This window comes from Homo sapiens, chromosome 14 (genome assembly GCF_000001405.40).
Source record: "Homo sapiens chromosome 14, GRCh38.p14 Primary Assembly".
NCBI lineage: Eukaryota > Metazoa > Chordata > Mammalia > Primates > Hominidae > Homo > Homo sapiens.
The window spans coordinates 33,904,943-33,923,641 of NC_000014.9; the positions used below are offsets into that span (position 1 = coordinate 33,904,943).

General features: G+C 41.9%; 2 annotated features.

Annotated features, from left to right (window-relative positions):
* Positions 12,332–12,476: an enhancer, noted in NCBI's record as "145 bp enhancer 110 fragment used in the MPRA reporter construct; PK_construct_4281". NCBI's record gives its function as "activates an SV40 promoter by MPRA in K562 cells {active_cell/tissue: K562}" and the evidence as "EXISTENCE:reporter gene assay evidence [ECO:0000049][PMID:23512712]".
* Positions 12,395–12,402: a transcriptional cis regulatory region, noted in NCBI's record as "GATA motif; enhancer activity is reduced when this motif is scrambled". NCBI's record gives its function as "necessary for full MPRA enhancer 110 activity {active_cell/tissue: K562}" and the evidence as "EXISTENCE:site-directed mutagenesis evidence [ECO:0005528][PMID:23512712]".

Below are 18,699 nucleotides of genomic sequence, written 5' to 3' on the forward strand. Positions count from 1 at the left end.
AATGGAATTGAGCCATCATTAGTATGAATCAAGATTATTATTTCTTAGTTCTTGCCACAGAAAAGACCTAGAAGCAATTAAATCTCTGTACAAAGAGCACACCTACTACACCTACTATCCAGATTTCAGTTTCTGAATACCATTCTCCACTACACAAGAGAAGTGAACTGATTACAGGGCAGAGACAGGCAAGGTAAAAAGGAAGACCTTATACCAGAGAGTAAAGAAGTGTTCAAAAACTGGTGGGTACTATCAAAAGGACACAAGATCCCTTGACACAGGAGCTTCAAAGAGCTCTCATGGCCAAGTATAGTATCATTTAAATCTTAAAATGAATTATGATCGGAATAGATTATAACACTGGATAAACAAAATCATTCATGAACCCATGCTGATACTAGAAATTTATTTTTAAAAAGATGAGGCAAAGGAGAAAGAAGGGGAAAGCTCTTTCTTAGAGTAGGCTGCCAACTAACAAGCATAGAAGCAATGATAGCAACAGATTCCTTTACAGCCAGAAAAAAAAATCACCAATGGATGATAAAATATTGGGTAAGTGACTGTTGGGAAGCAGAACGTGGAGAAATCTTACAGACACCCACCAATTGACCAAACTTAATATTACTACCAGTAAGGCCAACTGTGTCACACACACCCCTATTATACCACACTGATAAGGACAGAACATTACCTATCTGTGTAGTACTCCTGCCAATAATATACACCTAGACCTAATCATGAAAGGGGAAAGCATGAGACAAATCCAAATAGAAGGATATCTATAAAACTGAGATGGATTTTAAAACACACACACACACACACACACACACACACACAGAGACAGAGAGAGAGAGAGAAACAGAAAAAGAGTGAATGCCATGAAAAACTTTAAAAAAAGAATAACAAATGAAAAGGGGCTGGGGACCTGTCCCACATTACAGGAGACTAAAAGTAAATGAAATGTAGTTCATGACCTTTGGTTGGATCCTGGGTAGCACGGATATTGATAAAAATCCTTAATGGAACAATTGGGGAAATCTGAATATGGACTGTATATTAGATGATAATATCATGTCAATATTAAAATGTTGGAGTGGACAGTTCTATTGTTGTAAGAAAAATGTTCCTGATGGTCAACTCTCATATAATTCATAAAACTACATATATGTATATATATTTATGAATTTTATGTATATCTAAATATGCATTTATGTACACACATATTTATATAGAGAGAATGGGGTAAAATGTTAATAACTGGCAAATCTAATTGGTGCTTACTATCCTTGCAAATTTTCTGTAGATTTAAATTTTTCAAAATATAACTTATAAAAAATAAAATTTAACTGAAAAGTAATTTAACTGAAACATTTATCCATTTAAAAAACAAAGTTTATTATTTGAAAAAATCCAACTATATGCAGTTATGAGCCACTTTTAAGCCTAAGGATGCTAAAAGATTGACAATAAAGATGATTTTTTTAAAAAGAATGCTGAAGTGGCTCTATCAATGTCAAACGCGAGATTTTTAAACAAAAAGCATCACCAGAGAAAGAGGATCATCTCAATGATTTTTCAAAAAGTTCAAATCACCAAGAAGATATAAAAAGCTCTATAATTATATAGGTTTAATAAAATGTTTGTTTTTCAATAGATAAAGCAAAATTAACACAACTACATGAAGAAATAGAAAAACCTACATTCATAGTAAGAGATTTCAGCCTAAATCTCACTGAATGATAGACCAAGCAGCCAAAGTAGCATTCAGAGGAGAGGAGGAAAATCCAGACATGCAAAGACCTGAAGTTTAGCATCCATGGATACTTTCTGAAATACTGTTATAGGGTGTTTTCTTGCTAAAGAAAAATAATGAATACAAAAGGAATACATGGAATATAAAAACAATGGCAATCTAGAAGGTAGTAAAAATTCTCTAAATATTCTTTATTACAGAAAAAAAAACCAGAACTAATATCTGAGATTATCTTAACATGAGAGGTGGATGAAACACAGGAACAAAACATGCAAAACATTTTCTGCAAGAGGAAGCTATACATTCTGATTAGAAGATAGAAAAATGTTAAATACATGTCAAAAATTTAAGGTTAACTACTAGAAAAAAACGTCATGTATTGTTTCTGAACCACTAGAGTAAAAAACAGGAACAAGAATAAAAGTAAGCAAACAAAAAACTGATCAAAGACAAAAAGGAACAAAACAAACAGGAAAACAAACAGGGTAAAATACAGCATGTCAATCTAACACGCTGTGCCTGTAACAGTTGCCTCATGTGAGGGGAAGTAAAGCTATGGACTATTTATGAGATACCCCTAAAATAAAATATTACCTAAAAGTTGAAAATAGATTGATGAAAAAAACAGAAAAAAATTCTACCCAGAAGATGAGCATAATAATATTAATAGTTGCTTGAACTCTATTTTGTCTGCTATCACCAAAGGAAAAAAGAGGGGATTTTTAAAACTTATAATCCACAAAAATCGTAATGGTCACAAAGAATTGTGCTGTTTCTCCAGGACTTCAAAGAACATAAAGCAAAAAGCCTTGTAAAAATATAAGGTGGAGAAAATCCATAACCACAGTAGGTAACACCTTTAGAATCCACTCCCATACTTATTCTCCAGGTTTCTTTTGATAGATAATATTAGCAAAGTCTTGCAATTCACTTAGTGTCTGAGTTTCTCCTCCCCCAATCCTAGTATATACCTGTCTTTGGAGCATGCTGAGAATTTACCTTAGTTATAGGGCTAATGGAACAAGGGATGGTCCCGGTGGGTCTTAAGAATGAACATCCCCTTCCAAGGCATCTGCCCCAAATGAGGTTATAAAGGTTTTCAAGCTAAAGAAGGCTAGTCTATTCAGACAATGAAAGGCAAGGGACTTTCACTGGCCAAGGAAGCTCAGCATGACTTGGGGTTTCAGGACTGTCAGTTTTATCTGAATCCAATCAGATATTCCAGGTTTCAGAATCCCATTCTTTCCCAGTCAATGCCGTAAATTTTAACACAAGAAATTTTGCAACACTGTGAATTTATCCTAATTCAGCAACCCATGGAATTAAATTTTATGTCTTATTTTCAGAAGTAGCAGCTCTGTGGTAATAAGAAACAGCAATTATTTTAGGGCTAAAATAGAAGCTCTCTGGTTCTCAGACTGTCACTTGAGCTGAAAGACATTAAAGGACCTGATTCCATCACTTTCTCTCTGTAAATATTCTAGTAAAGTCAGGAAAATCCACTCCACATCACAGCCCATGTAGTCATCTCTACTGCTGGAACAGTCAGGTCAAGCAATTGCTTGGGATTCCAAGGAACCTGCTTCCTTTGACATTTTCATTGCAATTAAACACAAGGGCTTAATTGTATTGCCACTGCATGCAATAGATTATTCACGTCTCATTTCCAATTGGCAAGTAGCTGAGCACTGCACTTAGGCCCAAAGAAAGCCTTCAAAAACCGCGTACTGACGTACCTGCGCGCGCGCACTTTCAGAAGGAATAGGAGGGATCTCCCGATACCAATTCTGTATCAGTCAGGGTCCAGGCAGGAGACAGAAACTAAGTAATTTGAACAGAGAAAGTTTAACATGAAGAAGTATGTATAGGGAGTATATGTTGATACATAAAACATGTCCTAGGGCTGAAGAGGAGCAGCTGAGGGAGGAACAAACTTGGAAGGGCAGCCCCTTCACAAGGCTGGGCTGCAGCCCACTGAATGGTGGGCTGGAGCTGATCCAAACTCTGGGAGCTGAGGCTGGTTGGTGGTCAGGAAGCCTCCCACTGGGTGCCAGGAGCCGAGCACGCGGGCTGGGGACTAGCTAAAACTTGCTAAAGGGTAAGTGCCACCTGGTGTCCTGCAGTCTATGCTACCGCAAACCATGGAGCAAGCCGAAATAAGCACACTGAGGACAGGAAGAGAGGTCCCTTCCTCCTGCGACATCCCTCCAGCACCCTCTACTGACAAAGTTTAACATTGTGCGAGAAGGCAAGGGAGAAATTTTTCCAGGGCGTAGCTTCATCATCGAGGTAATGAAGGGTGGATATGGAGTCAACTGGTAACTGTTTAACTGTTGCACTTTTCAATGGTTAAACATTTGTTTAACCATTACACTTCCCCTTCAACCAGCTCCACAGCTGTTCAGGGCTCTTTTCCTGGAAGAGTAACCCAAACCCTCGTTCTCAGTGGGGCTGAACTCCGTGAAGTGCTGCCTGAGGAATGTTGCTAGATCTGTCTCTTAACCTTTACGGGGCACGTTAGTCCAGGGAGGGAACCCAGGGTAAGCTTTGATATCTTCCATCCCGTTTCTCTGAATCTTCTTTGGGCAACAGTGACTTTTGCTTGCCCTTAGTAGTTTCATCGAATATTCCAGCCAACACTGTTTTTTGTTGTTCATGTTTGCCTACTTACCTAGTAGTAATTCCTGAAGCCGTAAATGGCCAGGTGGTGCTTTTAATATCCAAATTCAACAGAAGTATCACTGTACCTCCTGGTGGAAGTGTACATCCTTTGGGCACTAAAGCCTCTAAGCCAGCAGAGCCCAGATTCATGGGGACAATAAACATTTTGTAAGTTATTATGTAACCATTGAGAATGGAGGCAAGGTGACAGAGGAGGAAGCTGAGGGATCTAGAGGTTAAATAACATACACAGCTTGCACAATTATAAACAGCTGAACTGGAGTTTAAAACCAAGTTTGACTCCAAAGTCCATGTTGTTTCCAATACATGTTTCTGACTCTCTGCCAAGCTACTATGAAGTACTGGTAATTAACACAATTTCATACCCCAAACATCCAGTACTGTCTCTCAACGCCTAAGAGGACCACCTACATGTCACACACACAACGCTGATGGTTGTGCTTAGCTTCCTGCAGCATTCCCTGCCCTTTTGTGTGTTTATCATCCAAAAAGCAGCACCGTATACCCAAGGATGTCAAAATCGAGTGTCCTTACCTTATCCCAGAGCTGAGACTTTTCCAGGCTTGAACATACTGTAGCAAGGACTACTTCACGGGTCCAGAACTTTGGTAGTTGTGTGACCACACACTTCCAACCATGTGGGCAGTGGACCCTGCACTAGTCTGGCTTAAGTATGGTTTTGCAGAAGGAAGTCACAGCTGGTAATAAGAAGGGGCAGTCAGGCATCTGATGGAGGAACGAGCTGACCTCTAAAGACCCCTCCAGTCTCGGGCTCAGCAGTTTGTTCAGTAAAGCAGCAGCAGCTGTGGAGGAGCTCAGACCTTATATAGGGTTAAAGGTCATCAATGCCCCTTCTTCACAATCTTGGGATATCTTTGTTCTACAATGATCTCTACCTCCATAGAAACACATGGCTGGGGTTTGGGGAAAATATTATGCATCTGATAGCAATAATTTAAGCATACACTTAGAATGACCCTGTATGGCAGATGCACCTGAATGTGTGTTTCGAGCTAGGGAATCCAGGCACCCAACCCGGAGATTTGTTCCTTGCCTATGGTAAGACCATTAACATTTAACTACAGTAAATGCAGAGTCCTTCTTTTTATTTTTTATTAAGAGGCAGCTGGCCATAATTTAATAGGGAAAGAAATGGCCATGATGTAATTATTCTCCTTGAAGACAAAACTTCATAATAACATTACTGTCATTTGTACAGGTCATCGCGAAGACCAGGCTCCTATGTGGGTTTCAGAGACGTGATTGAATTTGTGTAGCTATAAGTGCTCGCACAGGGTCAAGTATTACTCGTCTACTCATTCCATTTTCCCAATGAGTCAAGTGAAGTATAGAGGCAGAACGCACCTTGGGAAATGCGAAATGAGAAAAAGTGCCTTCAGCTGCTGCCCCACGGCAAGGTGCCTTCCATTCCTCCACCCTTCCATCCAAGCTCCCTAAGCCAAGGTCTTATTCGGCTCTGCTTGGCACTGTCTGAAACCCCTATTTCCTGCTTCTCTTGCTCTCAGAGTCCAGGTGTCAAATGGCGAAACTGTTTTGCAAGTCAGTGCGCATACAAGGAGGCAAATAGGTAGCTTTCCATTATTTAAATCTTCAGAGATAAGACACTAACTTCTTCTACCAGGGCAGTAGTTATCACAGTGTCTGTATTTATTAAACAAGCATGAATATGCTGGTCATCGTGTGGCAGGCACTGTTGTAATCACTTCACAAATATTCACTCATTAAGCCTCATAAAAGCCAACAGGAAATATGTTCTATTATGAGCCCCATTTTATAGACAAGGAAGCTGAGGCACAGAGAGGGTAAGGAATTTTCCTAAGGTCACACAGCTAGTAAGCTTAAGGCCAGTTTCAAAGTTTCAATACTTTCACCTATACACGGTAGGGTTAACGCACCTGATAGTAATAATTTAAGCATACTCTTAGAATGGACCCTGTATGGCAGATGCCACCTGAATGTGTGTTTTGAGCTAGGGAATCCAGGCATGCCCAACCCGGAGATTTATTATTTGCCTATGGTAAATATCCGAGCCCTGGGTCCATCCCGTGGAATATGGGCTGTAAAGGGCATTGAGGCCCTTAGTGTTGGGTTAAATGAAGGTTGCTAGGTAGAGGTTGTTGAGGGGAGGGTGTTAAGTGAAAATGCTACATAAACAGCATGATGTTTGCAGGTGGTAACAGTTCTCCTGGCCAGCCCACTGCCACTGGACTCTCTCTCCTGTAAATAAGCACCTAATAAAACCCCATGTCTCATTTATTGGTGCTGGGGTTCTTCTTTGGCCTCTTAAACTTGGTGCCTTCTCTTATTGAGGTTCATGGGGGTTCGAAACAACTTACCCACAAATACAAGTTTGGCTTTTACCATTCTAAATCCTCAGAACGGCAAGTCCACTCTCCACTTAAAATTAGAGGAGAGGTCCCTATTGCAGTCTCAAGAGATGTGAAAGAGATGTTTGGGCAGAACCCAAATAAGGATGTATCGTTTCCTTAGAAGCTAGGTCGGTCTTAGGCCTTTCTGTTCTGTTTGTTCCAAACAAGCAGTGACAGCAATCTCAAACTTCCCCTGTCATCTGAAGTCAGCCAGTATGCCATGTCACCATCTCCCCTTGCTTGCTAGTAACAACCAACATGGAACTGATAATAACTAAGACTGTTACCTTTCCAGTTTAACATAAACTAGAAACCTGGCCCTGCTGGGGATTGGCAGATACAGTCCATGGGATGAGACTGGTAAGAGCTGTAGGGTCAGGGAGTGTGCATCTGCCCTGGTCCCTCAGTCAGAGCCCCAGTCCCCGGCTCCTTTCCTCCGTGTGTTCTGCAGCCACAGTCCAGGCAGCTGTGGAGGCAGCAGAGCCCAGTGAGTAGAACGGAGGGAAATTCAGGGACACTGACCCTCAGCTGAGACCTCCACAAGCTGATGTAACAGACCTGTCTTCACCAAAATGTTTAACACTCCTGGAAGGATGAAAAAGTATACTTTTAGCAAATTGTAACTGTTCACCTCTTAAGTGACAAGTGATTTGAATTGCTTCACTTCTGGTTTTTTTAATATAGTCAAATTTATTAATTATGTCTCTGAATTTTCAGTTATATTTAGAAAGCCTTTATGTACATCAAGGTTAATGAGGAAATCACCCATTGCTTACATGCTATCACTTTTTACATTAAAATTTCAAACTCATTTGGAGATTTTTCTTGCATGTGGTGTGAAATATGGGTCTGATTTTATTTTATTTTCCTTTTATTTTTAGTCAGCATGTAATAATTTTGCCTATTTATGGGATACAGAGTGATTTTCCATACATGTATACAATGTGTAATAATGAAATCAGGGTAATTAGTATATTCATCACCTCGAACATTTATCATTTTTTTTATGTGCTATGGACATTCAAAATCCTCTCTTCTAGCTTTCTGAAAATATACACTAAATTGTTGCTAGCTATATTCACCCACAGTGCTACAAAACACTGGAACTTGTTCTCCCATCAGCTGTCACTTTGTGTCTGTTGACCAGTCTCTCCTCCCCTCCCCTCCTCTCCCCTCCCCACCAGCCTTCCTAGTCTCTAATAACCACAGTTCTACGCTTTACTTCTATGAGCTCAATGGTTTTCTTAGCGCTACGTATGAATATGAATATTTGGTATTTTTCTGAGCCTGACTAATTTCACTTAAAATGAGGTCCTCCAGGCTCATTCATGTTGCCACGAATGACAGGATTTCATTCTTTTTTGAGGCTGAGTAGTATTCCATTGTTTCTGTGTACACCACATTTTCTTTATCAGTTCTTCCACTGATGGACATAGGTTGCCTCCATATTTCTGCTATTGTGAATAGAGCTGCAATAAACATGGGGGTGCAGGTATCTCTTTCATAAACTGATTTACTTTCCTTTGGATAAACCCACCCAGTATTCATTTCTGTTTTTTTGTTTTGTTTTGTTTTATTTTGTTTTGAGATGGAGTCTCGCTCTGTCACCCAGGCTGGAGTGCAGTGGTGGGATCTCGGCTCACTGCAGCCTCCACCTCCCAGATTCAAGCGATTCTCCTGCCTCAGCCTCCCAAGTAAGTGGGACTACAGGCACCCGCCACCATGCCTGGCTAATTTTTGTATTTTTAGTAGAGACGGGGTTTCACTGTGTTGGCCAGGCTGGTCTCGAACTCCTGACCTTGTGATCTGCCCGCCTTGGCCTCCCAAAGTGCTGGGATTACAGGTGTGAGCCACTGCACCCAGCCTCATTTCTGTTTTTGACAGACCAAAAGAGGGAAAGGGCTCCTATGTGATCTGGAGGGGATGGAATGGGTTCCTATACCTGAACCTAACCCCGGTGCTGAATGACTCTAGAGTCGATGAATAAATATACTAGCCCTTCAGTGAATAATAACAGAAATTCAAGTCAGGTACTGCCTTCAGGTCCTGCAGGATACTTTAGGGGCAGACAGGATTCTTGAAACTTCTTATACTATGCCAGGCAAAGCACATCGGCTCTACTGCTTATATTCCTAGAAAAGGAATGCCTGCCATTGCCTGCTCTGCCCACATCCCCTTCTGAGAGAAACAGCTCTAAACAGCCATATAGGATAGGATACCCCATGATTTTACCCCATCCCCTCCATCTACAGCACTTGTGAACATGTGGCCAGAGGTCAGGCAGTCCATCCAGACTTCTGGTCTGGCTCATGAAGATGAACTTTGTATGGCTGGGTGCAGTGGCTCACACCTGTAATCCCAGCACGTTGGGAGGCCGAAGCAGGTGGATCATGAGGTCAGGAGTTCGAGACCAGCCTGGCCAACATGGTGAAACCCCGTCTCTACATAAATACAAAAAAAAAGTGAGCTGGGCGTGGTGGCACGTGCCTGTAATCCCAGCTACTCGGGAGGCTGAGGCAGGAGAATTGCTTGAACTGGGACCCGGGACGCAGAGGTTGCAGTGAGCCAAGATCACGCCACTGCACTCCAGCCTGGGCTACAGAGCGAGACTCTGTCTCAAAAAAAAAAAAAAAAAAGATGAACTTTGTAAATCATATTTTTTTCTTGAGAATTGGAAAACTGAAGGCAGCTGGAATAGCTAGAAAGTCACGTGGGGCCCCAGGGTCCAAAAGAAACTGAGCAGCTGAGAAGAGCGGGGCGGCAGAGAGAGTCAGATGGCTGCCCTGAGAGTTTCCTCAGTCCTAACTGTTCTCTTGGCTTCCAGTTCTAGTCCAGTGTGGCTTTGGTCCCTGTTCTAGATGTCCATGACATTTCCTCTTGAACCCAGTCACTAGGAGAGCACCACCAGAGGACAAGCATGGTGGCCCACCAAGTAACAGCAGAACATGGAATAAAACTTTGACCTCCAAACCAAAACTGATGTGTCTGTCCCAAAAACCAGGTGTGATCATGAATATACTTAACAACTAGGTGGCACAGGCCCCACTGATCAGAATGGAGGTCTGCCCTGTTGCAGGCCGGTAGTGAAAGTGCAGGTGCATCCTGGCTGCCTGCTCAAGTCAGGAACATCATGGCACTTGGAGGAAGGCCATTGAGAACAGCTTCATGTCCATCTCTGAATGAGACAATGCTGCAAACACTCACCATAAATTATCAAGTGCAATACAATCTTCAAATTGCTCCCACCCAGGCTTGGCTCCTCAAACCTCACTCCTGGTGGATGATGCCTGAAAGGAACATGACAGAGCCTTCTGACAGACAAGGAAATGACCCTGGTCTGCCACACAAACCAATCCTTAGGTGGAACCAAAGTAGTCATTTCAAATTGTGGTTCCTTTATATCCACCTGAGTTAGAATGGGCCAGGGTGTGGCCATCAGAGGGAGGTGGGATCTTTCTGAAGCCCTTGGAGGAGACTTTATAGGTCTTTGTAGAGAAGGAAATGCAGTGCAGATCACCATGGTGAAAAGCCGAGACATTCCCTTCTATGACTCATTCCTTCCAGCAGGCCCTGTTGAGCGGTTATGCCCTGCCAGTGATGTCCACACGTCTTAGTTTGCACATTCCCAGTGAGGTTCATACAAGCAGGTACCCACTGCATAATGTTAAGGTTGACATCTAGATTTTTCACTTTAAGCTTGAATAGCTACAAGGAATACGACTTCCAGTATATAGTAAACATCACCATTTTAAAATAAAACTGTTTCATTACTCTCTTAAATGTAAAACCTGGATAGTGAGATAGACCATGGGCAGGTGAGATGGAAGCAACATTAGGATGGAAATCCTTTTTAAGGAGCTGAGATCTAAATGGCCCATCATCATCCATGGAAAGTAGAAAAGGGAGGAACACTTTAGGCAGAGGGAAGAAGTGCAAGCCCTGAGGCAGAAACAACCTTGACTTGTTTGAAGAAGAGGAAAATGGCAGTGTCAGGAACATAGCAAATAGGGGAAAGCCTAGTAGGAGAAAGGCTGTGAGGAGCAGGCAGGGCTGGATCATGTGAACTCTGGAGGCCATCTGTGTCGACTGTTTTCCCTTTGCCTCTCCACATTCTCTATCCTTATGGCCCTACTCTGAGCCACGGGAGCTCGACCTGCACAGGCTATGTCAACAGACTCCATTGACTGCTAACTTCTAGATGTGTTTAGCCCGGGATGTGCTCCTGCAGGTCTGAAGTGGGAAAAGGGGAAGGCCGCGGTGTTTATTCCCTTCATTCTCTTCTTGCGGGCCTCTCTGTTTCTGGGTACTGATTTCTTCCCATACCCCGCACCCTTTCCTGCCTCTGAGTGGTGGTACCACCTGCTGTTGCAGCCTAGGGCACGGCACTAGGGTTTCCCTAGACCCTCCCCACCTTGTGGTTTTCCTATACCCTCCCTACTGTGGTAAAATGTGCCTGTATTTAACTGTCCTCCAATTATCCTAATTCATGTGTGTCTCCTGGGATCTGTTGCTACACCATGATGAGGTGTGTAATTTTGTTAGTAGTATTCTTAAGTCATTTGGTAATAATCTTTCATCCTGTGAAGCTACAACATGGATTTTTTTAAACTCTTGTTTCCAAGTGCCTAATACAGTGTTATAGGAAATGCTTAGTGACTGCATACACCATGCACAACAGAGCCAAGTGTACTTGAGAGACAACTGGTCCGTTGAGAACAAAATGCATTTGGAGGCCATGAAGTTCAAGTTGAGAGCAGCATTCCCATGCACACCTCTCTCTGGGGAATGCAGCCAGTCCCTGCAAACCCCATTCCCCTCTCCAGGTTAAAAAGTTCCTCTTCACCCTGATGTTAGTTTGAAAAGTTTCGGCCATAACCATATTTAGTTATATTTAGGGAGAGGGGAGTGGTGGGTCAAAGGCTTAAAAAAAAACCCAAGAATGTATATATACTTAAGTAGCTAACAGTTTACTCCTAACATGCTTGTCTGGGAAAGCCTCTACTGGAGATCACGTGACAACAAAACAAAACACCCTTTCTCTTCATTTGGGTGGACAACTGGTTTAGTTTGATTAAATCTCAAACCAAGAATCATCATGTAAACTCATGGCTTAGTTGTCACACTGTGGAAGCCTTAAGCAGCTACAAAACTGCTGCTGATAGGAGACTAGTCCACACTCATCACTGCAAGTCACAGCTGTCTTGTTGTTTTTTAAGCGGGTTTCCTTCATCAAGATAATATAAATTTATGATAAAATGAAATTTACAGACAGCCCAGAGAGGAAGCAGGAGGTAAGAGTGAATTGCCTGGTTAAAAACAGGAACATGTGCAGAGGAGAAAGTTTCCCTGCTCTTGGAAGCCAAGCCAGGTTCCCAGTACCCTGACCAGCTGCTCCCATTTGGAAAAACCCTGGCACAAGATACCATACCAGACGTTCTGCACATGCCTCCTGAGAAAGCCAGAGAAGGCTGAGAAGTATATGGGCCCATGAAAATAAGAAGCAAAGAGGAAAGGGTGTAGAAGTTGGTTAAAAATAAAACTTATCAGATGAGAATTAGGTCCTGAGAATGTTATCTCTCCCCACAGGAGGGTGGAAAAGAAAATAGGCATGTCAAGGAGAACACAGGCCACAGGATGAATAAGCATAAAAATAGGAGGAAATGATCAAGCAAACATGCCAAACAGCCAGAGGACGCCTCTCATCCTAGAAGTGCTGACTTTCCAGGATTGCTCGCCTTCCCTCACCTACTCCCCCAAGAGAATGAGTCAAGGCCAAAAACCCTGGCCAAGGAACTGTTTCCCGGAAAGAGAGACTTTTTTTCCTCTATACCTTTTTGGACTATTTCCATTTTTCCCCCATGTGCCTAGATTACCTTTTAAAAAAAAAAAAGTAAATGTTTATGGAAACAGTTATTGGAATATTCCTACTCCCAGCATTTTATGACAAGTAGGCTAGTCCCCTAGAGAATCTGGAAACTCCAGATAGTTGGTGAACACTTAAATCCTCCCCCAGCTGCTCCCTACTGCTCCCCTTGTCCACACCCAGCCCTGGCTGCAGCCCTGAAGTGAAGAGGCTTGCTGGGAACCCCCATGCTCCATCCCTGTAGCTTTTCAGAGATCTGTGAACTTGATCTACTCCCTAAGCTCACTTCAAAACATGCACCCAGTCATAAGGGATATGCGGTTTCCCTCAAATAAAAGGCACAAAACAAAGACTACAAGCATACCTCATTTCACTGTGCTCCACTTTCTTCTGCTTCATAGATATTTTTTCTAGCAACTCTGCATTAAGAAGACTACTGGAACCATTTTTCCACAGCACATGCTCACTTCGTGTCTCTGTCACATTTTTGGTAATTCTTGCAGTATTTCAAACTTTTTCATTATTATATTATCTGTTATGGTGATCTGTGACCAGCGATCTTTGATGTAAACTATTGTAATTATTTCGGGGTCCCAAAAACTGTGCCCATATAAGATGATGAACTTAATTGATAAATTTGGTTTGTGTTCCAACTGCTTCACCAACTGGCTTTTGCCCTCTCTTGGCCTCCCTATTCCCTAAGACACAACAATCTTGCAATTAGGCCAATTAATAATCCTACAATGACCTCTAAGGGTTCAAGTGAAAGGAACAGTCACACATCTCCAACTTTAGGTCAAAAGTTAGTTGGTGAGGAAGGTATGTCGAAAGTTGGTGAGGAAAGTATGTCGAAAGCTAAGATAAGCCAAAAGCTAGGCCTCTTGCACCAGTTAGCCAACTCGTGAATGCAAAGGAAAAAGTCCTGGAAGAAAACTAAAAGTGCTACTCCTGTGAACAAATAAGCAAGTGAAAACAGCCTATGGTTGATATGGAGAAAGTTTGAGTGGGTTGGATAGAAGACCAAGCCAGCTACAACATTCCCTTTAGCCAAAGCCTAATCCAGAGCCAGCCTCTTTCAATTCTATAAAGGCAGAGAGAGGTGAGGAAGCTACAGAAGAAAAGTTGGAAGCTAATAGAGGTTGGTTCATGGGGTTTAAGTTAAGAAGCCATCTCTATAACATAAAAGTGCAGAGTGGAGCAGCAAGTGTTGATGTTGAAGCTGCAGCAAGTTCTCCAGAAGATCTATCTAAGATCATTGATAAAGGTGACTACACTAAACAACAGTGTAGATCAAACAGCCTTCTGTTGGAAGAAGATGCCATGTACGACTTTCACAGCTAGAGAAAAGTAGTCCACCCGATTTCAAAGCTTCAAGGGACAGGCTGACTCTCTTGTTTGGAGCTAATGCAGTTGCTGACTTTAAGTTGAAGCCAATGCTCATTTGCCATTCTGAAAATCCTAATGCCTTTAAGAATGATGCTAAATCTACTCTGCCTGTGTTCTATAAATGGAACAAAGCCTGGATGACAGCACACATGTTTATACCATGGTTTATTAAATATGTTAAGCCTACAGTTGAAACCTATTTCTCAGAAAAAAAGATTTCTTTCAAAATATTACTCCTCATTGACAATGCACCTGGTCACCTAAGAGCTCTGACGGAGGTGCACAGAGATTAATGTTGTCTTCATGCCTGCTAACACAACTTCCATTCTACAGTACATGGATCAAGGAATAATTTTGACTTTCAAGTCATATTTAAGAAATACATCTCATAAGGCCATAGCCGCCATAGTGATTCTTCTGATGAATGTGAGCCAAGTAAATTGAAAACCTTCTGGAAAGAATTCACCATTCAAGATGCCATTAAAAACACTGATTTGTGGAAGGAGGTCAAAATATCAACATTAACAGGAGTTTGGAAGAAGTTGATTGCAATACTCATGGACATCGTTGAGAGGTTTAAGACTCCAGTGGAGAAGGAAGTGCAGATGCAGTGGAAACAGCAAGAGAACTCGAATCAGAAGTGGAGACTGAAGTTGAGACTGAATTGCTGCAATCTCATGATAAAACTTGAACAGATAAGTTGCTTTTCATGGATGAGCAAAGAAAGTGGTTTCTTGAGATAGAGTCTGCTTCTGGTGAAGATTCTTTGCATTAGCTGCATTAGCTCCTAACAAGAGAGCCAGCCTGTCCCTTGAAGTCTTGAAATTGGGCATGGACTACTTTTCTCTAGCTGTGAAATGACAAATAAGAACTCAGAATATTATGTAAATTTATTTTATTTCTTGTAGAGACGAGGTCTCATCATCTTGCCTAGGCTAATCTTGAACCCCTGGGCTCAAGCAATCCCTCTGCTTCGGCTTACCAAAGTGCTGGGATTACAGGTGTGAACCACTGCATCCAGTCTATTATGTAATTTAGTTGATAAAGCAGCAGCAGATTTGAGAGGATTGACTCCAGTTTTGAAAGAAGTTCTACCATAAGTAAAAGGCTATCAAGGCCAGGCGCAGTGGCTCACACCTGTAATCCCAGCACTTTGGGAGGCCAAGGCGGACAGATCACGAAGTCAGGAGTTAGTGACCAGCTTGGCCAACATGGTGAAACCCCATCTCTACTAAAAATACAAAAATTAGCTGGGTGTAGTGGCACACGCCTGTAATCCCAGCTACTCAGGAGGCTGAGGCAGGAGAATTGCTTGAGCCCGGGAGACGGAGGTTGCAATGAGCTGAGATTGTGCCACTGCACTCCAGCCTGGCCAATAGACTGAGACTCTGTCTCCAAAAAAAAAAAAAAAAGGCTATCAAATAGCATTGCATGCCACAGAGAAATCTTTCATGAAAAGACGAGTCAATTAATATGGCAAATTTCACTGTTGTCTTATTTTTAAAATTGCCACAACCACCACAATCTTTAGCAACCACCACCCTGATCAGCCAGCAGCTATCCACATGGAGGAACGACCCTCTACTAGCAAAAAGATTATGACTTGCTGAAGGCTCAGATGATCATTAGCATTTTTTAGCAATAAGGTGTTTTTAATTAAAGTATGTGCATTGTTTTTTCAGGCATAATGCTATTGCATATAGATCCCATTGCATGCTGAATACACACCGTATAGTATAAACATAACTTTTATATGTACTGGGAAACCAAAAAAAATTGTGTGACTCACTTTAGTAATTTTCGCTTTACTGTGGTGGTCTGGAACCAAACCTACAATACCTCTGGGGTATGGACCTGTTAAATTAATTTTTAATGACCTAGTGTTTAGCCACTCCTAAAATAATGAATTTCACTCAACTGCTCTTAAATCTTCTTGCAAAATTATGACAATAAAATACAACAGCCATTGTCTGTTTCTCTCACTTTTAAAAAAGAATCACAGCCGGGCGCAGTGGCTCACGACTGTAATCCTAGCACTTAGGGAGGCTGAGGCGGGTGGATCACGAGGTCAAGAGTTCGAGACCAGCCTGATCAACATGGTGAAACCCTGTCTCTACTAAAAATACAAAAATTAGCCAGGCGTGGTAGTGCGCACCTGTAATCCTAGCTGCTCAGGAGGCTGAATCAGGAAAATTGCTTGAACATGAGAAGCGGAGGTTGCAGTGAGCCAAGATCGCACCACTGCATCCCAGCCTGGGCAACAGAGCGAGACTCCATCTCAAAAAAAGAAAAAAAGAATCACAAAATGGCCTTTATTTTCTGAAAAATTTCAGCCCTCGGGAGCATAAGTACTTCTGGAAAAGCTGACTTTTCTATATGCTGTTTTTCAAATAAGCAAGATCCAAGAAAAAAATGTGGTTTTTCAATACTCAGTTTTTCATGGTATTTAAGTAAGGCAAAGAGCTGTGTTTTAAAGAAATTAAAATAGCATCTTTCTACAGGCTACCATAAAAAAATAGGTAGACATGGCTCAAATGGCTTTAATTAAAAATGTTTATCTCTACTTAATGTCCCTCAGAGGTGACAAAAGTAGGCCATTTAATTTATTCGATGGAGAATTATAATAGAACTCCACTGACATCTCAGCTCTACCTTAAGTCCAAGCTGGGAAGTTATGTGTATCAAAAAGAAAGGAAATCTGTTTCCTTTGCTCCCCCCAAGTGCATCTGACACAAGGACATGAGGGCTGAAGCTTGCACATTGTCCAACTGTCCCAGTGTGCTGTGGCCTAATGGAAGGTCTCCAAATTGCACCCAGGAAATCTCAAGTTTGTTTTCTCTTCCAGATGGCCTACACTGCTTAACTCTGATACGTGAGTGAGAACACGCTTCATGCAACTCATGCTCAGCATTAGCCCAAGAGGCCAATGCTGGATGTAAACCCAAAGTTCCTCCATGATCTCTGAGGCATATGGGAAAGATCCCATTGCAAAGTCAGGAGACAATCCAACTGATGTTTTCTGCTTGTGTGGTTTTTATGGAATAACTGACTCTTTCAGGATGGCCTGACACCCTTGTTCATAACCACAACATTCAATAAAAATATCAAGCAGCAAGCATTTAAAACTCCCCCTCTCCCAACTCCACTCATTCTTGCTCTGTTGGCAGGAAGGAGATTCCAAAGACAACAAATGCTGAGGAGCTGGAAGTCTTGTGTCAAATCCTAGTGTACTACTCCATCACTGCGTAACCTTGGACAAGCCACCTAACCATTCTGAGTACATTTCCTCAGCTGTGAAAGAGGAAGAGCTGACTCACAGTGGTAGCAAAGAATAAATATGTGGGAGCACGTAGCACAGGGCCTGGCATATAGGTATTCTCCGAGTATTTCGAGTCATCTTACCCATTGTTCTCAGCTTCTTTACATCACAACTCTTTAACCTCTCTAGCCATGGCCTTGCAAATGTAAAGGTGGTAAACCATGGTAAATCCTGACCTATCAACACAACAAGAAAACAGCATACTAAAAACCGTATTGGGATGAGAGTAGATGGGGTCTGAAAGTAGACTGGGTCTTTAACATAAACCAGCATATATTATCCAACAGAGTTCAACTATAGACAGCTTCATTTGAAAAGTTTATTTCCTCTGGGCACGGTGGCTCACGCCTGTAATCCCAACACTTTGGGAGGCCGAGGCAGGTGGATCACGAGGTCAGGAGTTTGAGACCAGCCTGGCCAAGATAGCGAAACCCCGTCTCTACTAAAAATACAAAAATTAGCCGGGTGTGGTGGCGGGCATCTGTAATCCCAGCTACTCGGTAGGACGAGGCAAAGAACTGCTTGAACTCGGGAATCAGAGGTTACAGTCAGCAAAGACGGCGCCACTGCACTCCAGCCTGCGTGACAGAGCAAGACTCTGTGTCAAAAAAGAAAAGTTTATTTCTATTCTGTTCTAACAATACTTTCTAACCACCTTACTAACCAACTCTTCATGCCATTCAAAAGATTCAAGACTGTAGCTAAGTCAATGTTGTATCGTTTTAAAAAATAACTTTACTAAGAATATCCCTTCTGCTTGTCCTCGTAGTCGATCAAATATATAAGTACCTGACATATCCAAACTCCTATCTTATATAAACTGCTGGCCCAGCATGGCATTTCCCATCATTGCTTTCTAAAACACAGGAAATTTCAGTACTGAATGGCCAAAAGAAATTAGGACGACCCAGCCTCTAAAAAACCTGAGTTAAAGAAAAACAAAATCATGTCTGAATGGATAATTCATGATTCTGACAGTCCAGCATTTAATGGTATTAACTACTCTACTAAGGATCTATCTAATGCACTTAGGTAAGACTTTTTATTTCCATGAAATTGGATCTTTGGTTCAAAATTTAATCTCCTACCAAGAACTCTGGACTATATAAGTGACATAATGGTGAGGTAGGCTCTTAATATTTCATTGCCGGGAATATAAATGAAATTGATCAGATTATTTGCCAAATAATGTTTCTTTAGCAGGGCTAACTCCTCCCCTAAATGGGCTGTCAAAGAGAGGAGCAAAAAACAGACTCCTAGCATTAAAGTTGTATTTTCCAGCTTAATTTTCCAGGACTCAAATTGA